This window comes from Homo sapiens, chromosome 1, assembly GCF_000001405.40.
Source record: "Homo sapiens chromosome 1, GRCh38.p14 Primary Assembly".
Taxonomy (NCBI): domain Eukaryota; kingdom Metazoa; phylum Chordata; class Mammalia; order Primates; family Hominidae; genus Homo; species Homo sapiens.
The window spans coordinates 158,145,685-158,167,941 of NC_000001.11; the positions used below are offsets into that span (position 1 = coordinate 158,145,685).

Genomic DNA, 22,257 nt, shown 5'->3' on the forward strand with positions numbered 1-22,257 from the left:
CCAAAATGTCAGTGCCTACAATACACTTAGTGATGGAATCATGATCACTGGCACCTGAAATGGCCCAAAGGGCCCCACCCACAAGCAGATAAGCACCACAAGCAAATAGGTACCATGAGCTACCATATTCATTTCCAAACTTCCTGATGTCATCAGTTTAACTTTTTTTCCCCTAAGGGGACCTGGAAATATTGTAATGTGGGCCCCAGGGCACAAGAACCCCAGAAAAGTCTGAATCCTTCTCCTTCCCCCTTTTATCCTGACAGGAGTATGGAGCCATTGGTACTCAGTGGGGACCCAGAGACCTTGGCTCCATTTCTAACTGCACCATTCAGCCTGAGACATTTGGGTCTGCAGTGTCCTTTATCAAACACACCGCCCAGGCTGCGTAAGACTTCCCTGGCCTTCCTCCATATCCATCCTTTAGATAGGCGGTCTCCCCATCTGTGAAGACCCACCCTGTGTGTGTTGGTTCCCTCTCAGATGTTCCAGGGACTGTCTGAGGACCTCTTTCCCATTCTCTCTCAAGTGCCTCAGGGTCCATCAGAATACCCACTTCCCAAGCTCTCTGGCCTGGGAATGAGCGATTACGTAAGTGCCCAACACCCAGGGAATTGTACACTGCTCTATCCTGTTTCTACATTCCATACCCTCTCCTCGGTCTATGCAGCCAGCTCACTCCCATCTGCAGGGGAGGTGGGGAGACTATGTTTCGCTTATCATCCTTCCCTCCCCATGACTCATCCAGCTGCATGTCCCGTCAGTTCCTGAATGCCCAGGCTGACATCTCTGCCTTGGGTCAGATACAGGGGGATATCACCGTCCCACTTCACCAGAAAGCCATGGTTCTGTCAGATCAGACCCTGCTCATAGCATCAATTTTGTGAGGCAGGTTCACTAATAACCAATCCCAAGAGAAGACTCCCACTACAAGCAGGACAGCAGAGATCGACACTATGCCAATCGACAGAAATAGGAGCCCACACACTTCTGCCCACTACATCCTGGCCTGAAGGTCTACCAATGTCTGCTGGAGATACACTCACATGCAACAAATTTTGTGAGGTGGGATTATTACTTACAGGCAAGCAGCAAGGGAAAAAAGAAGCCTAGGATCCATTGTGAGGCAGCCCTCAAGGCTCAAGGAAGCTTCCTGGGCAGGATTGAGTGTTGCCCGTACATGCCCCATGTGCACCACAAGTGAGGGGCCCCAAAAGGCAGCCCACTATGAGTTATATACCTCAGGGGTCATGTGACTCACTGGACAAAGCTGGGAAGGGCATCCTGCTTCCAGGGGAGAGAGGTACAAAGCCTGGGCTGTCCCTGGCACCTCCTCTCTAACTCCAGATGTTACATTCCCTAGGAGGGACAGGAACAAGGAGGCCCAGTCTATTTCAAGCGGTTCCTTCCTTTCTCAGGATATTGTATTCCCAGCACATTTTACAGTTTTTCTTGAGAATAACAAGCAAGAAAGAGAGGAGAACTGGGTTTGTCCAAGGCCACTTGGAATATATTGTCCTGCGCTAACATCCTAGAGGTGCCATTAAAAGTGGAAAGTTAGTTCTGCTACCCCGAACCATACTACAGCTCCCCATCCTTAACATCTCCTAGATTTAAAACCATCCCCTAGAAGATAATATGGAGGTAAAAAGAGAAAGGGCACTGATGGAGTCGTGTGTACCCAGCCACGGAAATGAGTGATGTGACTTTTGTTCTCACCTCCTCCAAGTGAGGGGTCTCCAAGAGAATCACTCATAGAAATTGGTGGGCTGGCAAGAAGAGACTGTTATCTCAATCTCTGGTTGGATATCTGCTGATGAGCTTGTTGATCTGTACTCTGTGATCACTAGAGCAGGGAGAGAAGGATGACAGGGAAAGAGCTATCACTCTTACCACTTGGTTTAGCAAGGATGTGTGAGTCAAATGAACAGTGTGGAAATCGGTGTGAGTTTACTGTGAGTTAAATGAACAGTGTGAAACTCAACAGGGTGTGGGCCATCTTGCCGGTTCTCCTTCCAAGAGAATTGGCTGCCAAGCCAGGGAACCTAGTTATACCACCAAGAGCAGGGCTGAGGGGTTGTGGGAAGTAGTTATGAGGCAGGAGAATAGGGTCTGAAGGCAAGGAACCTAAGGCGGTTTCATGCCGACTTCCTTAGAACTAAATTGAAAGGAAAGCCTTAACTTTCCACGCCTAAGTAACAAAAGGACCAGAAGCTGCTCCCTTTAAAAACTCCTACCTTTTCTGCAGGGCAGATGGGAAACTGAAAGTACCTCTGATTGGTTGCTTTTTGCAATCAATCAGATGTTTGCATAGGAGTGTAACTTTGTAACTTCACTTCAGCCTCTGATTGGTTGTTTTCCACAACCAATCAGACTGATTGTGGGCCACCACTTCATTTACATGGGGTGAACACCAAGTGGCCGATGGGAAACCTCTAGGGGGTATTTGGACCCAAGAAAATGCTGCATCAGAGCCCTTGAGCCTCTGCTCAGCCTGCTCCCACACTGTGGAGTGTACTTCCACTTTCAATAAATCTCTGCTTTTGTTCCTTCTTTCCTTGCTTTGCTGTGCGTTTTGTCCAATCCTTTGTTGAAAACGCCAAAAATCTGGACAACTTGCAGTCAAGACCCTCTACCAGTAACAGTTTTAAGCTGCAGCAGATCTCCCATCAAGGAATTGTGTACTGGGGAGAGCTCCCAGGGAACTAACCCATGTGCCTATTAAGAACTAGCATTTGGGTACCTTCCAAATGGAAGGTATTCGTGACCAATCAGCCTTCAACTGAGAGGTGGAGAGAACCAACAGACAATTGCAATTAAATGCCCAGTTAGGCAAAATGACTTTTGGCCCTCACTTCCCAGCCCTCCCTGATTTTTCCTCAGGGTCCCAACACAATAAGTATTTTTGGGAAAGGCAGACTTCTATTAAAGGACAGAATACACCACTTCCCCAAACCAAGCTCCACTGCTCAAGTCTGGCTGGTGCTGAGGGGAAGGAAGGAAGTTTTGCAAATCTCACTGCAAAACTTGAAATGAGATGTAAGATTTTAAGTGGACTGCATTAGACTGGACTTCTAATAATTAAGTAAACAGAAAACTACAGAATCCGTCAGGGCTGGAAGAACTGAGAGTATGGTTGAAGGCACTGGTTAAAACCTCATTGAGAATATGTTCAGCAGAGTTCAGAATGTTCATTAAGTTGTTTCTACATGCAAAAAGTCTTTGAAGTAAGAGGCAGCCTGGTTTGTTAAACTGATAGTTTCTGAAGATGACTGGAACACAGAGGGAGAGAAGGAAGTCTGGAAGACTAGGAAGAAGTCAGGCAATGACAGCCTTGTTAAGGTGTTCGGACTTTATTCTGTGGGCCAAGAGAAGCCATGAAATATTTTAATGATCAAATTTGCATCTTAGAATGATCCCACAGCCGGTAGGGTAGGGACTAGAAACAGGGAAATCATTTAAGCAAGAGAAAATGGTATGGCAGTGGAGATAGAGAAATGGCAGTGTGGATGGAGAAAAGTGGGAAGATATGTAGGTGGAGAACTGTCAGGAATTGCTTACTGATGAGACGTGGGCTCGAGGGAAAGGCGAAGGAAGCTTCTCTTTCCCTACCTCTCCTTCCAACTGGCCCTAGAATTGCTGTCCGGTTTCCAGTCCCTGCTCACACTTCATTCAATGGTGGAGGAATGCCCAGCTGCTGTCCCATGGGGGTCTGGAGGTCTATGGGCACCAACAGTACCATTTCCACAGTCTTTCCAGCAGCGATAGGAGGCAGGCTGTGCCTCGAGTGTCATCTGGTTTGGAGGCCGAGGTCCCCACGTTTAAGTGACTTGCTTAAGACCCCACAGCTGGTTTGTTACAGAGTCCAAATTTCACTCTCAGCTTTAGGGCTCTTTTAATAACACTTCATTGCTGCATCCCGAAGTTAAGCAAAAGAAACAAAATAAAGATAAAAAGGAAAGCACTGTTCCAAATGCATAGCCTGGAGCATAGCAAAATATGTAATTAAAGACCCGCGCCTGATGTCGGGGAGCCTCGATGTGCGCATGCGTCCCAGGCTGAGGCCGCCGGAAGAGGTCAGGCGGTTCGCCGGCGTTCCAAGTTGGAGGCCAGCCCAGGACAAGGAGGGGAAGTGCGCATGTGCTCCAAATCATTTCCCGGCCGAGGAAATTGGCTAAGACCGTTAGCTGGTGGGAATCGGAAGAGAATGGGTCACTCGGGCTGTGCGCGGGGCACTATGGGTGTTGTAGTTTTTGCAGGGTGGTAGCAGTTTGTTCTTTTAAGAGGAAATCTTCGCGACTAGTTGAGTCACGAAGATTTTTGAGAAAATCATTTGAGAAAAAGTTGCTTGCACGGGGGAATCGAGTGTGGACTAGCTACGTGGGTGTGGCTTAATTCTGCTGTTTCTCTTTTGGATGAGACATTGAATGAAGTGTGAGCAGGGACTGGAAACCCGACAGCATTTCTAGGGTCACTTTCTGCCTTGCCTTCGTTAACGCTCAGTTCCTCCCACATCTTTGGCTTCCCTCTATAATACCTACAGATTCCCTTTATTATTTCATACTAGCTCCGACTAGTCTTAAATACTCTGTTTCTGTCCTCTTTCTCACACGCAGTTCCTGGAATCTTCATCCTTCTCTCCCTCGTGAGTACCTTTTCTTGTTTTTGTCCTAGACAGGGCTCCTCTAACACTCTGCCCTTGCCCCAGGAGTCACGCCAAGGACCCTAAGAAAAGGATCCCACAGTAAATGTTTTTAGGCACGAGCAGATCGGAACCATCCTACTTCATTTCACTTATTTCTGCTTCTCTTCCGATCCTTGTCTCTTCTGGTTCCACCTCTATGTTCTACCTCTCTGTAGCCTCTTTGCTTCTTTGAAGTCTGGTGGCCTTAGATAGGAACTCTCAGACCTGCCATTTTGTCTCTGGCCTCCACAGCCTGTCATTTAACAGAGGACCTAACCCTGGGTTGACTTCTAGGTCAGAGAGTGGGAAGTGAAACAAATTGGAAAAAGAGAGGAAACTGATGTATTAGGTTTGAAGAAGTCGTCAGGGAGATATATGGTGAAAGAGGGGGAAGAGAGAGTAAAACTTCTTGTGCCCTCAAAAACTCTTTAGTGCTGGCTGTGTGCAGAGGTCTGTGAGCTCTGTGGTGGGGATGCATTAGTTAGAATCTTAGATGCTGAGAGTTCAGTTGTAGAGAACACAGATATACAGGTGAGCAACATTGCAGAATGACATCGATTTATCTTTTACCTTTCTGTGTGTGCTTCTGCTCCTTCCCATACCTACCCCAGCTAATTCCAAAGTATTTTGCTTCTTCACATCTTTCTCTGTTATACACTCCACTTCCCATTCTTAAGGCCCCCTTCCCTTTGTTCTGACCCAAGCTATTTCTTTTGTATATCATGTTAAAGTCATATTTTAGTCTAGCTCTCAAAAACACCATGGTTGTATTTTCAAAGAACTTCCAGAATCTGCTTATTATCTCTTTCAAAGCATGAAATATGCAATAAAACCAATACTATTTTTCATTTAAAAAATATGTAGAGTAATAGTTGAAAGTGGAGAGTGATAATGGATGAATGAAAGTTGACCAGAACCCAGGAGTTTGAGACCAGCCTGAGCAAAATGGTGAAACCCCATCTATACAAAAAATACAAAAACTAGCCAGACATGGTGGTGACTGGACCTGTGGTCCCAGCTACTCGGGAGGCTGAGGTGGGAGGATCGCTTGAGTCTGGGAGGTCAAGACTGCAGAGAGAGCCATAATCATGCTACTGCACTCCAGCCTTGGCGACAGAGTGAGATACTGTCTCCAAAAAAAAAAAAAAAAAGAGAAAGAAGGAAGGAAGGAAGTTGGAAATTTGGCTATACCTCATTTTGGTTTTCTTCCTTTGTTTTGAATTCTCAAAAATGTTGGATTCCCATAATACTAATATACATTTGAGACATGTATTTTTTTTTCTTTTTTTACTCAGGTTTGGTTAGCAGGACATTTCCAGGGTATCACAGTATACTGAAATATTACAAGAAAGGTCCATAAATGCTGTACATCCTCCAATCTGTAAATTGTTCAGCAACAGGAAGACAGTGAAAGATAGACGGCAACTCACCAAGAAGAATATGTCAGTGATTTCCCCTAAGATGTGATTGTTCCACAGAAGCATTCTTCAGGGGAGTGGGTCTGTGCAGGCAGTAAGTGGGAAGATCTTCACTTAGTGTGCCGTCCTTCCTCAGCTTCAAGAGAATCCACTTGAAGGAGAAGTCCCATATATTATGTCCAATGCTGTGAAGCATCTTTTGGTGCCTTCATTTCATCCAACACCAAAATCCTCAATGGTGAAGAAATCTATAAATGTAGTATTGACCTTGAGAAAAAGTTGAGCACAACTGCGCCCTCATGCAGCACTGGAGAAACCTATACATGTAAAGAAGGACAGTTTTCATTTGACTCTCAGAGCTGATTGTATATTGGCAAACATATTTTTCTGCCATTGCTTAGGGATAAGAAATCTAACAGAAACATCAAATAAAATACTGAAGAGAGAAAAAAAACACTTTTTTTTTTAAGGCCTTCTAGAAGGGGCAATTGAGCATACTCCACATATGTTGGCTAGTTTACCAGGAAAAAATAAAAGGAGCCAATTTGAGCAGTGGACTCTAGGTGACAGTTCTGTTTGGGCTGATGAAATCGATCAGCCATGAATACTCTGTCAATGTCTCCCACTACGATTCTCTTGCCATTTTTTTTTTTACCCAACCTCCACTATTTGGCCTAAACATCACCTCTGTCAGTCTCAGAGTTACACTCTCCCTCCTGTATTCTCAAATTTTCACATAGTTGTATGTGTGATTATAACATCATGGTTTCAGCTGGTTTCATCCTCTGGTCCGTTTACCCACCTCTTTTGATCATCGCCTTTTGTCTGGGCCATAAGTGAAAGTAAAAAGGACATTAGGTGAGTAGGAAAGGAGATTTGTTCACAATGCCTTTCACCTTGGCATTTGCCTTGGCTTCTGACCTTCTTTACTCTGGGATGCTTTTCGTGACCTCTCACACCCCATGATGGGTTAAGGGGTCTTTCCTCAAGTTGGTTTGCCCCGACTTTAGTACTTAATTATGCTGTATTATGTCAGGCTTAGGTGTATATCCACCTTACTAGTTGTAATCTCCATGCAGACATGGAATATGTCCTATTCAGCATTGTGTTCCTAGTACCTGGCATACAGTCAGTATGAGTAGATGAGTGAATGTAAAGCTCTTGTTTTTGCTAAACCCCTTTAAACCTTCTTGCTTCCCTCTTCCCCGTCATTTTTTCACAGCTCTGTGCTTCCCGTCCCCCATTAGTCCCCATCATTTTTCCACAGATCTGAGTTTTTCCCCCACCATTTATGTTCATACATTTTGCTTAGTTAAACCCAGCTTGCTCGTCACTGGCTACATGGAAAGGTGCTGGATATGGATGATTGCTTTTAGTATCAAAATCTGTCGGAAGTGTCTATATATTTTTCTTCCAGCCTTAGGCTTATTTTATGAAATTAAAATAAATATGAAGACTCTGTAGGTCTTGAGTTAGTATCACTTGAAAATGGAATTTCTCTGAATATTCTCTGAATAGAATAGTTTCTTGCTTGTTGCTGATATTGAATTGTAGGCCATTTTTGTAAGGATGATCAACTCTGAGTCATCCTTACATCCTGTGAAGAGAATAGACTTGTGAAGAGGCTCATCTTTCTTTAGTTTGGGAGTAGTGTTTTCATTTGATTATATTTAATGTTGGGAATTCATACTACTTCCTAGCATATCACGACACCACAATGTGAAGTCCCCATTTAGGAGGCACTAGAAATCTTCCTCATTTCACTGCCTGTTCAATTTCTGCCACCCTTTAAGCTATATTAATTATGACATGTCTTCCCGGATAGATGTAGGTGCCCTGGAGCAAGGCACACCAAAAAACCACTCCTTGTTCCTCTGCCTAATTCATTGTAAAAGCATATTCTTTATGATGGCCTCAATATTGCCAGTATTTTCTCTTTTCATATTAATGTCTGAAAAATGGCTCTGGGATTCAGAAGCTGGAATTTAGATTCTTTGTCACTAAATAGTTTCCCTCTGTTCATTTCATTTTCACTTGAATTCCCTCATATTGGGAATTCCCTGGGGTTACACACCAACCTTCCTTTGACTCTCCCCAGGTGGCTCATACAACTCTATTTGAGGAAAAGATTGTTGGGAAAAGAAACTGTACAGCAGAAGGGGAAGCAAGAAAGGGAAGAACAATTTTACTCAAAATGGTACTTCTGAGTTTAGTTTTCTTTTCAGAGATGCTATGAAGTCAAGCGTACATTTTTCCTTTTGCCAGTTATTCATTTGTTTTATCCTCTTTCTTTTGGGTCTAAGGATTCTTTCTAGGCCCAGTGAAAACTTTTCCTAGATGATGTGTCCATTTGAAACATAGCATGTGCAGAGAATCCTGATAAGGTGCAAGAACGCGATCAGGATTGTTGTGAACAAGCTTTGGCAGGGGGAGGGGTGTGTGTGTTGGAAGCAGTGTGCAGGGGGAGATGTAGAAGGTCAGCTTCGGTTCCCTTTTTTTTTCCGATCAAAATGAATATGAGGAGGATGTTTAGTCCATTAGGAGAGTCTAGAGAGGAAAGGAATAAGGGAGGGTGAGGGAGAGGTAGAAGGGACTACAAGGAGGTCCATTTTACCTGGACTGTGTATTTACTGTACCTGGGGAGCATTACTGAAATGTACAAAGTTGCCTGTTAGGAAAGGGGTCCTGGCTGGTCTCCCTCCCACTGGAGGCACTTTGACCACAATTTTATAGATTGTGAAACAAATAACTTGTTCAAAATCTCACTGCTGTTAGTGACGGAGGAGATGAAAGAACCAAGGTTTGAGCGTTGTTTGACTAAAAAGCTCTTACTCTTTTCCTTATGTTCTGTTGGCTAAGGTATGGTGGGGTTAGGGTGGGGTGGAGTCACTGGCATTTCTGGTACATTCCTGGAGTTCCTCATTAGTAGGGAGGGGTTGTTGGGATGCAGATGTGAACATGGACATGCTAAATGAGGACAAATTATACTGCTGTCTCCTGTCCTTTTTCTTCTTGTGTTGTGACCCTTGATCACTCAGTCAGACATACCAGTGGTTACATACTCACACTACAGCACCTTGACAGCATGGACAAACATCGAGGCAAGGGAGGCATATTTGGGCAGAGTGGGAAATGATCTTGGTCCTTGGGAGTCTTTGGGGATTCTGCTGCTTTTCCTCAAGTACCCCATTTTTTTCTGATCATTTGTGTGTTTGGGGTGAGGTGGCTGGTGCCTAAATAGGCTGGTGCCTAAATAAGATGGGATATAGTGTTCTGGAACCTATGACTTCATCTGCTGCTTGATGTAGGCAGATCTACTCAGGAAATTCCCCCTTCACCTTCATTGAATCTATATTTTCATCCTCAAAATCCTGGACTACCTCCTTCTCTTTCCACTAAGAGTCTTTGCAGACAGTCTACTGGGATGGTTAAAGAGAATCAGCCAGCAGCTTGACTTGTTTCATTTGGTTCTTGGGTGAGCAAACCCCACAGGAAACCCACTCTTTCTCTTGACTTCATAGCGACGTGGAACAGACTTGCTTGCTCTGCTTTATCAGGCTTGGGTGATTGATTATAAATTGAGGTCTCTTACCCTTGGATTATGACAGCAATATATGTATATTATAGACATTTCAGAAAAATCATAAAATTATGAAACAAAAGTCACCTGTTTTTATCTTTACCTAGAGAAAACACTGTTAACATTTTAGAAATTGTTAACATTTTAGAAATTTCCCTTCCAATAGTTTTATCTGCACATATATAAAAATATATTAATATATACAGCTACATTTAATAAGATGTAAATTAAAAAGTTTAAACAAGGCTGGGGAGAAGGAACCAAAGTGTTCCTAATAGTTGTCTTCTTTTAGTGCTTTTTTCCTTATATAAACACTTAACATCAAATGGGACTGATAAAACAGGGTTGTAAAAATTGTAAAGCTACACTATAGATAGAATAGTAGAGCTTCAATAAGTAGAGCACAATTGCCTTAAGGCAGCACTGTTGTCCATGGTTATGTTTCCTGTACCTATTGCTGGGTGGCTGATGGGAGTGTCTTATCAGTCTGGCACAGGATGGGCAGCAACAGTCAAGGAATGAAGCCAGACATTGTTGAGTCAGGCCTGAGGGTTGAGTGAGGCTATGCACAATATGATTAGTCCCAAATTTAGAAGTTAGAATGGCTATAGAATATATAGCACTATCTAAGAGAAGTATAATGCAAGCCATGTGTGTAACTGAAATTTTTCTAGTAGCTATATTAAAAAGGTAAAAAGAACGAGGTACAATTTTATTTTTATTTTTTTAGACAGGATCTCACTGGGTTGCATAGGCTGGTCTCAAACTCCTGGACTCAGGCTCAAGTAATACTTGCCTCAGCCTCACGAAATTCTGGAATTACAGGTATGGGCCATTGTGCCTGGCAATAATTAATTTTAATAATATATTTAACCCAGCATATCCAAACTAATTTCTACATGTAATCAGTAGTTTAAAAATTATTAATGAGGGCCAGGTGCGGTAGCTAATGCCTGTAATCCCAGCAATTTGGCAGGCTGAGGCAGGCGGATCACAAGGTCAGGAGTTCGAGACCAGCCTGACCAATATGGTGAAACCCTGTCTCTAATAAAAATACAAAAAAAATTAGCTGGCCGTGGTGGCATGCGCCTGTAGTCCCAGCTACTCAGGAGGCTGAGGCAGAAGAATCTCTTGAACCTGGGAGGCGGAGGTTGCAGTGAGTGGAGATTGTGCCACTGCACTCCAGCCTGGATGTCAAGAGCAAGACTCCATCTCAAAAAAAAAAAAATTATTAATGAGGTGTCTTACATTACTTTATATATGTAAGTTTTCAAAATCTGCTATGTATTCTACACTTACAACACATGTCAATGCAGGCTAGCCATATTCCTGGTGCCAATGGCTGCCATATTTGATAATGCAGATCTGAAGAAAGTTGTACAAGTGGCTAATGGCTATGATATTGAGTAGTGCAAATCTAAAGAAAGTTGAAGTTTGTAGTGGAAAAAGGGATAGTGTAAGTGGTTTGGCACTAAGGTTGTGAATCATGTAAAGATGTTGCATATCTTTTAATGTGCTGCCAAAGTAGGAAGCATGAATTGTGCTTGTGAAAGGAAAATATCTTGGACCCCAAAATCACTAAGGGAAACTCCAGCTGGAAGCTGCTTAGGGCAAACCCGCCTCCCATTCTATTCAAAGTTACCCCTCTGCTCACTAAGATAGATGCATATCTGATTTGCCTCCTTTGGAAAGGCTAATCAGAAACTCAAAATGTAACTGTGTCTCACCTGTCTGTGACCTGGAAGCTCCTTCCCGACTTCAGTCTTCCGGACTTTGCTTCAAGTTGTCCCGCCTTTCCAGAGTGAACCAATGTACTTCTTACACATATTGATTGATGTCTTATGTCTCCCTAAAATGTATAAAACCAATCTGTGCCCTGACCATTTGGGGCACATGTCATCAGGACTTCCTGAGGCTGTGTTATGGGCGTGTGTCCTCAACCTTGGCAAAATAAGCTTTCTAAATTAACTGAGACTTGTCTAAGATTTTCTGGGTTCGCAGGCTTGTGATTTACAATGGACCATAAGGTGTAGGAATAAATAATTTGAGACAGTGTTGATGGCAGGCACAAACTGAGTGGCTTAAAACAATGAAATTTCTCAAATTTACAGTTCTAGAGGTAAGAAGTCTGAAATGAGTCTCACTGTGCTAAAATCAAGGCATCAGTAGGACATGTTGTCACAGGGTGAACCTCAAAACTGGGGCTCAGCCTGGGAGGCCACATGGCTTCTTGGCTTCACACAGAAAAGAATTCAAGATTGAGCCAACAGAGTAAAGTGAAAGCAAATTTAGTAAAAAGTAATGGAATAAAAAGTGTGGCTACCCCATAGGCAGAGTAGCCCTGAGAGCTGCTGGTTGGCTATTTCCACGGTTATTTTTGATCATAGCTAAACAAGAGGTGGACTCTTTATGAATTTTCTGGGAAAGGAAAGGGGCACGGAATTCCTGGAATGAGGGTTCCCTCCGTTTTTCGACCATATCTTTCCACCATAACTTTGGGATGTTGCCTGGCATTTGTAAACTGTCTTGGCAGCTGGTGGGAGTGTCTTTTAGCATGCGGATACATTATAATTAACATATAATGAGGAGTGAGGATGACTAGAGGCCGCTTTCGTCACCATCTTGGTTCTGGCTGATTTTGGCTGGCTTCTTTACTGTATGTTGTTTTATCAGTGGGGTCATTGTGACCTGTGTCTTAAAAACCAAGTCCTGCTGAACTCCTATTTCAATGTGATTGTTACCAAGTTAGTGAAGAGGAGATTTGGGTCAGGGAGGTATGGCAGGGAACCCGATCCCACAGGCCTTGTGGGCCATTGTAAGGGCTCTGAGTGAGATCTGAGCCACTGGAAGGGCCTCAGCATATGAATAATGTGATGTGACACATTTAGTTTCTTTTTTTTAATTATTTTTTGAGACAAGGTCTCACTCTGTCACCCAGGCTGGAGGGTAGTGGCATGATCATAGCTCACTGCAGCCTCAATCTACCCAGATTAAACAGTCCTCTTGCCTCAGCCTCCTGAGTAGCTGGGACCAAAGACACGCATCACCATGCCCAGCTAATTTTTAAATTTTTTGTAGAGATAGTGTTTTGCTTTGTTACCCAGGCTGGTCTTGAACTGCTGGGCTCAAGTGATCCTCCCGCTCAGCCTCCCAAAATGCTAAGATTACAGGCATGAACCCTATGTGTGACCTGACATATTTTAAAAGGCTCTCTCTGTGTTACGATTAAGAACTGTAGGATGCAAAGGTAGGGCAGAGAGGGAGACCAGTGAGGAAGCTCTTGTAATAGCCTGAGTGAAAACAAGAAAAAGGAAACCTGGTGATAGGGGCCCAGGTAGTTGTAGTAGAGGTGGTGAGCGGTGGTAGCATGTTGTTGGATATATTTTAAAGGTGGATTTGATAGATTTCCTCATGGGATGGATGTGAGCTGGAGAAAAGAAAGGAGGACATAACGATTCTGTTTTTTGCTTCAACAACTGTAGGAAAGGAGGTGCCAGTGATTAAGAAGAGAAAACTGGTATAGGGTAGGCCTGGCTCCTCTCCAGCGCATAATAATGTAGTAAATATGTGCACCACTGTGATCAATCCAAGTACCACAACTCTGTGAGGGGGCATTAATGGACTCCATTTTCCAATGAGGAAATTCAGATTCAGGAAGGTAGGGGTCTTGTGCAAGTTAACACAGCCAGTATAAATTAAATTTGGTGCTGAAACAAGGACTTGCTGGCTGGTCCTGTAGTTCTCACAAGCTCTCAGGCTTGCCTCAGCTTTTCACAGTTGATAGCACCACAATAAAGACACAAACAGGCCTCTAATGTCCTCTTATTGTTCATGACCTGACCTAACTACTTTATTTTACTTATCTATTTATTTATTTGGAGATGGAGTTTCACTCTTGTTGCCCAGGCTGGAGTGCAATGGTGCGATCTCAGCTCATTGCAACCTCTGTCTCCTGGATTCAAGCAATTCTCCTGCCTCAGCCTCCCGAGTAGCTGGGATTACAGGCATGTACCACCACGCCCGGCTAATTTTGTATTTTTAGTAGAGACGGGGTTTTGGCATGTTGGTCAGGCTGGTCTAGAACTCCTGACCGCAGGTGACCCACCTGCCTTGGCCTCCCAAAGTGCTGGGATTACAGGTGTGAGCCACCTCACCCGGCAGACCCAACTACTTTAGCTCCTCCCACATATCTTACCAATTTGCTGCAAATTATCTTTTCTCACCTTGTGATTCATAGTCCCTTCTGGCCCCCTCAGACCTGATTCTAGGCACTACTTGCCAGATAATAATCTTTTACCTTGTCATGGTTTCTTACATATGCTTCTTTGGAATCTACTGGGGTTTCTTGATTGGTAACTGGATATTTTAAAACACAGACTTAATAGGGAGCATGTGTCTCTGCTTTTACAGTTTGCATGTATAATTCAAATCTGGGTTTTTATATTCATATACAGCCTTGGGAAAAGTTTTTTAAAAAGATTAGTTTGTATACATATTTTATTCATATAGCAATTTTGCTGGGTCTGAGCTTTGAATGAGGGTGATATCTTTATGATCATTTTAGCTTCTCATAGATTTAACTTGACAGTATAAAGCTTAAAAAATCAGGCAGTTACCAAACAATTATATTAGGTGATAATTCTTAACTACAGAAAAAGATGAATCGCTAGGTTTTTTTTATATGGAATTTTTTCTCTACAGATGAGTATTTGCTACCAGATAGTTAGCAACTTGGCAGAGAAGCAATAAGGTAACACAACCCAAAGAGAAGATAAAACTTTGCAATTGGAGGTGAATCTGAAAGGCAAGCTAGAATAGCCTGAAATAGCAATGTGAATCTGAAACTAACATTTGATATTCATTAGGTTAATTTTCACTGAACTTCCTGAGATATACTCTTTATTCAATGAGATAAACTTGTGCAATTTTTGACTTATGAATAGTTGAATGCAATTATTACTTGGCGTTTAAGACCAATAATTACATTATTACTTGGTCTTAAACACCAAGTAATAATTGCATTCAACTATTCCTTAATTCAATAATGCTAGGCACTATTCTGAGTGTTGGAAGATATAGCAGTGGACAAAACTGATAAAACATCTCTGCCTTCATGAAGACTAATGAGGAGACATGTGCCCAGTGACAAAGTTTAGAGTCAAGAACAGGTGAGTCCGGGGAAAGAATAGGACTTGTTTGACTGTGGTTGGGATTCTGTGGTGGAAAGCTTTAAAGAAATGGTGAGGGACAGGGAGGCAGTTAAAATGAGAGTTCTGGGGGTGAGACAGGATGTCAAGATGGAAGGTCCCCAGCCTCTGGAGTAGAGCTCAGGCTAAGCACTTCCTCTTCCCAGGGGAAAAAGAACTTAAGATCTAGTCAGTGGAAAACAACTTAAGATTTACTCAGTGTTCATTAGGTATTTATTGCATTTTAAAAAGTTAATTTTTTTCTTCATGCCCAGAGAACTTATTTTATACAAATTTTTGTTTTATGAAGGACTTAAACAGAATTTTTTATCAAAGACTGCTGAAAGATTGAATTGTAGAAATATTGGAGGCTAGTTGTGTTATAGTGTGAGGGAGCTGTTTAAAGATACCAAATACAGGGTGGGGATAAATGAATACTTTTTTGAATGGAAAATAATAGATTTTTTGTGCTCTTAGTTGTCAGAAGAACACAGGATTTTCAATACAGATTAGTTCCGTGATCTTTCCCCTTCTTTGAAAGAAGCAGCAAAAAACATGCAGGGCAAGTCATGACACAGAAGGCATTGGTGTTGTGTCAGTGCTTCTTCAATAATTTTGCCAGGTGCCCCAAGTTCATAGATTACATTAAATTCTTTCAGTATTCAGTTGGAAAAGAGAGGGGTTTCAAATGGAAGAAAATTCTTACAAAACTTTATAGGTTAAAGTAAGTTATAGTGCAAAGCAAGCCTTTAAATAGAGAAATATAAAGCCAACATAATTTGGAAGAAAATAATGCAAGCTATTGTTAGCATTAGATTAAAAAAACATGAAGTACTAACAATAATATTTAAAAAACAAAAGCCTCTACATTTAAAAAAATCTCCAAAGGCTAATTGTACATAGACAAGATTATAGCTGTAATCTATGAAGTCATGCAATTTTAAAGTAAGGACTCAAAATTACACAGGCTACCTTGTTCAAAGTTACCAGCCACATACCAGGACAGGAATGAATCTCAGATTCATTACAGCTGATTTTCTGGAGACGCTTAATTTTAAGCTGCCGCAGCTGAAACAATGCCAGAAACCATTAGGAATTACATGTCTTGAAAGCCAAACAATAAACATAGTTTTATTATTGGGCAAATCCATGCTTAAACAAAGTAAGGACAGCAGAGCTAGAAAGAGAAAGGAGGCAGGATCTTGGTAGAAGATTGACTAGCCCTAAAAGAAGGGGAGGGAATTTTTATATATTTATTTGGGGAGCTAGATAAAAGGAATTGACCTGCTGAGCACAGGCTTAAAAGATTTTGAATTTTTAGCATCTAAAGATGAATACTAAGAAAAACGAGGGTACAGATGATTAGTGTATAAAACCAAGAAGAATATGGACCAAGCCTGGAATATTTTTAAGGGAGTATTTGCATTCTGAGGATTTCTAACCTAAGTGAGAACCATGTGACTAAGTCTTTGGCTCTCAATAGCTATTGGCTCATCTGGGCAACTCCTCTCATACTTCCATTGAAGCCAAAGTGTATTAGGTCCACAGTTTAACATATTTTAAAAGTAGGGCTTAATTAGAAAACATTTACTGAGTACTTGAGATGTGCCTGACCCTGTGCTTAGCACTGAAGATATTGAGATAAATGGAGAAGTCTCCATACTCCAGGAACTCACAGACTAGTTAGGGAGACAGGATGGTAGATAGTGGCAGTGTGATGAGAGCTGTAATAGAGGCATGCACATGATTCTATGGAAAAACAGAACTATCACTTAGCTCAGATTGGGTGAGGACTGGGGTTGATGAGAGAGGTTCCTGGATTAAATGGCGTGAGACTGATGAGTGACTTGAAATTAGCCTGCAGATGGGAATGGGTAGGTTGGAGAAGCTGGAATGTGTTACTAAGAGAAATTGGATTAAGACTCAGCTAAAAAATACCAAGTATCTACTATGTTCCAGGTGATTTATACACATTATCTAATCTCTTACATAAGACTCATATGAGATTCTGATTTCATAAATGAGAAAGCTGAGGCTCAAAGAGATTAAATGGCTTGCCCATAAAGTGGAAAAAAAAAACATGTTTTAAAGTCCTCTTTTAGTCCACAGTGTCTCCACTTTTAAAAAAGATATAGTTAAAGCTAATCTTCTAGCCCAATTTCTCTTAGTGTCACTGTGAAAAATAAAACTCTGTCATTATTGTTTGCAGGGATGTCTGGCCTCACTTTGGATAATCTGGACCTTTTCTGCTGCAAGCATACCACTAGATAGAAAAGAGGACCTGTGAAACATCTTCTCCACATTTCCCTTCCCTAGTGGGAAGCTTATTGTTTCAGAGTCAAGAACTTGGTTCCAGGCTACAGTCCCATGGCTACCATTCTCTAACTGTTACTTTGCACTTCTAAGGTGTGTTTTTTTAAAATATGATTAATAATGGTGCCTAACTTGTCAGGCTGTTGTGAGAATCAAAAGAGAAAAATAAATGTAAACTGCTTAATGTATTGCTGGCACATAGAAACTGCTCGAGAAATATTGGCGATTAAAGTGTTATACACTTTAAAGTGAACAGGCAAATTCACTTCCCTAAACTCAAGTTTCACTCATTGATTTGAACCTTGGTTGACATTTCATCTTCTCTGAAGCCTACACTGTGGATGTAGGCTGTGGATGAAACAGAAACTGACCACAGGGGTCAGGGCCAGGGCTCTGCCAGAGAAGCCAGCTAGATAGAAACTCAATTTTGATGCCACTGTGGAATACTATAGGCACATTTCTATTTGAGATGTGGGTGACTACCTAGTCAAGAGCTGAGAGAGGGATGAGACAATGAAGTAAAGAAGTGGAGGGAAAAAGAATGTGGAGAGGGAAGGAGAAATGGGATGACCTGGCTGGATACAGATGCAGATGAAGGGCAGATAGAAAGAGAGAAGAATGAGATAGGTAAATGAGAGTGGAAGAGGGATAGGGAGAGAGAGAAGAAGGAGTAGGAGGAGGAAGAAGAGGAAGAAGAAGAGGAGAAGGAGGAGGAGGAAGAGGAGGACGAGGATGAGAGTGTGATGGGGGAGAAGGAATCCAGAGGAATGAAAGATCCAAGAGATAAGGCAACATACAGTTTTTAAAAAATCTCTGCAGGTGTAGCTAGGTGTCTATTACATGAAACTTACTCTTCAGAGGCATTTGCTTTGTAAATTTGTGAGTCATGGAGTAGAAAAAGGAAGTTGACAAAATGACAAGTGCTTCCTTTCTCTCCTTGAAATAAAAATTGGAGTTTCTGAGAAGGCACCCATTAAAACCAGTTTTTCTCCATTTTTTGGGTTCTCTATGAGCTTTGTTCCATTTCACTGGTGGTTATTGTCCTGATATGTCTTAGATTTCCATCTTATTTGAACCATAGATCATGAAAGGTGAGCCCATGAAATTAAACTTTTGTTAAAAAGTGGAAGAACTTCAGAATTGGAAGACCCCCGTCCATGCAGTAATCTCTTCAACAGCATATTTGGCAGATGATCATCCAGGTCCAGTATGGATATCACTACTGGCAGAGTTCACAAAAATCAGACCATCCTTTATTGGGTAAGTCTAACAGCTATACAATTTTCAGTTGCACTAAAGTTTGCCTTTTGATAACTTTCACACATTGAGCTTAATGTCACTAACCAAAGCAACTGAAAAGTGATTTCCCATTTCTTCCTGACAGATCTTTAAATATTGGCTAGTCTTTTAAATTGTTCTTCCTTTTGATGATTTAAGACCTTTCCTCATTCTGTAGGGCCTCTTCTAGGAAGGTTGTAATTGTAAATGTTCTTCTTCAGTCAAAGTGCTCAAAACAATACAATATGAAACATCATAGTGGACAATTCATGGCAACAAGGCAGAGTAAGATAATAGAGACTGCCCACCCATCCCAATGCATACTTCAAAGACTTGTAAATACTGAGTGAAATGTAATCTAAAGATTTAAAACAACACAGCTGAGCTCAAGGGAGCCTTCCTATAACAAAGAGAAGTATTAAATAGTGAGCAGACAGAGCAGCAGCTCACGGTGTCTTGGTACTGGTTTTGCCTAGGTGCTGGGGACTGAGTTTCTAATGTCCATGAAGGGACAGAAGACTTTACCTTGGGATAGTGGGAGGTGACACTCTGCAAAAGAGGTCCCCTAAAACTATATCCTCTAATAAGTGTAAAGTCTATTACAAAGGGACAAAAAACCTTTGCCCACTGGTCCTGGGAAGTGATGAGAAAAATTGCTAGGGCTCTGGGTTAATGAAAAAGAAAAAAAAAAAAAAGGATCTGGGAGAAATGAAAACCCCAGGCCTGTAATATGCACTGGTTTGGGGGCCTCAGTATTTTGTTGTTTTCATACGGCGTGAACCAAAAGCTGAGAAACACAAGAACAGGTCCAGAGCCATTGTCATTCCTAGGGCCCTGGCAGAAGCAATTGCAAAGTAGTTCTACATGGACTTTTTCATAACCTAAAGGATGGTACTTCCACAAGGGAAGATAATGATAAAACATTAATAAAAATATCTATGAAGATGAGGACACAATAGAAAGCACAAGTTACATTGGGAAAAAGAGTCAACAGATACAACAAGATAATTCACATCCCAATAATTAAGGGTAATAAAGCAATATGAAAGAGGTAAGTATGCTTAAAATGTTTATTGACCAAAAGAAAGGAACAGAAACCATAGTGAAAAAGAAGACAGTATGATAAAAATAACAGAAAGATGTTTAAAAAATCATATTTTCAAGAAGTGAAAAATATTGACAAATCAATGGACAAGTTAAAAATAAATAACAGATCAGGGATAGTTGATGGTAAATTTAACAAAGTAGAAGATAGCTCTGAAGAAACTACTCAAAAATGCATTGAGTGATTATCCTAGTCCATTTTTTTGTTGCTATAACAGAATGCTTGAGACTGTCAAATTTATACAGAAAAGAGGTTTATTTAGCTCACTGTTCTACAGTGTGGGAAGTTCAAAATTGGGTGGCTGCATCTGAGCTTCTGGTGAGTGCTTTGTGCTGGGTCAAAACATGGTGGAGAAATGGAAGGGGAACTGGGCATGTGCAAAAATGGGCAAAACATGATAGGCAACCTTGCCTTATATGAACCTCCTCTTGCAGGAACGAATCTATTTCCACGAGAACTAACCTAGTCTCATCAGAAAGACATGAATCCATCTTAATGATTTTATAATTCTAAAATTATGTCTTAAAGGTGCTACCTAAAAACACTGCCACATTGGGGACCAAGTCTCAACATGAGTTTTGGTGGGGACAAGCCATATTCAACCCATAGCAGAGATAAACATAAGGAAATTATACAGTGAAGCTAAAGAGACATAGAGGATAAGATGGCAAAGCAACCATTAAAACAATGAGAAAATCACAAAACTAAAGAAAATTTTGGGGTTTAATTCTAAAAAGTACAACTACTCTTGGGTTAATATATGAAAACATTTTTGGTTGGGGTCATTACAAACAAGGTAGTTGTGAACATTCTTGTGCATATCTCCTGACACACGTAGACATGCATTTATGTATGTACTCAGGAGTGGAATTGCTAGGTCAGACTTCAAATAAACAATCTAATGATGCACCTTAGAGAACTACAAAAGCAAGAACAAACCAAAGTCAAAATTAGTAGAAGGAAAGAAATAGTAATAATCGGAGCAGAAATAAATGAAATTGAGACTAAAAATCGTACAAAAATCAATGAAATGAAAAGTTTTCTTTTAAAACGTTAAACAAAATTGGCAAAACTTTAGCTAGACTAACTATGAAAAAAAGAAAATACCCAAATAAATAAAATCAGAGGTGTGAAATTGCTAGGTCAAATCTAGACTAGATTGCTGTTTGATATATATATAGTTTCTATTTCAGTTTATGGTGTATAGTAGGTCTCTATCCACTGTGGATCTACAGAAGTGGTGTGAGACTCTTTGATCCAATTTTAGATTCTCTGACTCTGCTATATGACCTTAGCCTATAGGGCACATTTCTTCTTTGGTTACCTGTAGAACATATAAAGAGTATATCTACAGTGTTCATAGCTCCCTAGGCTTCTATTTTATCCAGCAATGCTTGCTATGCTTTTGATATTGTCATGTTACCCCAAATACTGTGTCTACATGCAGAAACATTCTCCACATATCCTCCCCCTACAAACATGCTTGCACTCACTATCTATATGTTTTAGTTTTGATTCTCCTAGGAAAGGAAGTTTCCTGTTTCTTCAGGGCTGAAGCTCTGCTTTCCCTCACTCTATCCTACTTCCTTCATCTCAAAAATATGTATTGAGTGCCTAAATTCTCCCAGGAACTATTCTAGGTGCCGAAGACTGCAGTGAACAAAACCAAGAAAGTTTCCTGTAGAGTCTTTTTTTTTTTTTTTTTTTTTTTTTTTTTTTTTTTGAGACGGAGTCTCACTCAGTCACCCAGGCTGGAGTGCAGTGGCGAGATCTCGGCTCACTGCAAGCTCCACCTCCCGGGTTCACGCCATTCTCCTGCCTCAGCCTCCCCAGTAGCTGGGACTACAGGCACCCGCCACCACGCCTGGCTAATATTTTGTATTTTTAGTAGAGACGGGGTTTCACCGTGTTAGCCAGGATGGTCTCGATCTCCTAACCTCATGATCCGCCTGCCTCAGCCTCCCAAAGTGCTGGGATTACAGGCTGAGCCACTGTGCCCAGCTTCTTGTAGAGTCTATACCAGGATTAAATAAGAAAATGGCTATAAAGCACTTACAATAGTTGCAGATGTAGGATATATGCTTGGAAATTTATCTGTTTAACAAATGTTTATTGAGTTCTTCTTCTTTTTTTTTTTTTTTTTGAGGTGGAGTCTTGCTTTGTCACCCACGCTGGAGGGCATTGGTGCGTTCTCTGCTCACTGCAACCTCCATCTCTCAGGTTCAAGCAATTCTCCTGCCTCAGCCTCCCGAGTAGCTGGGATTATAGGCACATGCCACCAGCTTGGTTAATTTTTGTATTTTTAGTAGAGACAGGGTTTCACCATATTGGCCAGGCTGGTCTCAAACTCCTGACCTCTGGTGATCTATCTGCCTCAGCCACCCAAAGTGCTGGGATTATAGGCGTGAGGCACCATGCCTGGAAGAGTATCTATAATGTTCTAATCAGTGTAGTAGGCACTGGGACCAGAGTATTAAGACCAGAGGCAAGAGATCAGTAAATAAACATGCAACATAAATGAGCCACTTAATTTCAGATAGTGATATGGGTGTATAATTCACATAAATCAGTGAGAGCAAACAAAAAGTAGTTTGGAGATCAATGGGAAAGTTTTATTTTAGAAACTTAAATCAAGCCAGCCAACTGAACAGTATGGCTAGGAGTAAAAAAAGAATCAAAATGTAATGCTGGTC

The 22,257-nt window shown here is 41.4% G+C and overlaps 1 long non-coding RNA gene across 1 annotated transcript in view; it reads left to right on the forward strand.

Annotated features, from left to right (window-relative positions):
• The window catches only part of LOC105371460 (uncharacterized), a 32,490-nt gene that overhangs the window by 4,960 nt on the left and 5,273 nt on the right, over positions 1-22,257 (forward strand). Inside the window, exons 2-4 of the long non-coding RNA XR_922187.3 lie at positions 14,734-14,850; positions 17,078-17,274; positions 18,263-18,441. This is a non-coding gene — a long non-coding RNA (uncharacterized LOC105371460). The remainder of the gene's footprint in view (positions 1-14,733; positions 14,851-17,077; positions 17,275-18,262; positions 18,442-22,257) is intronic.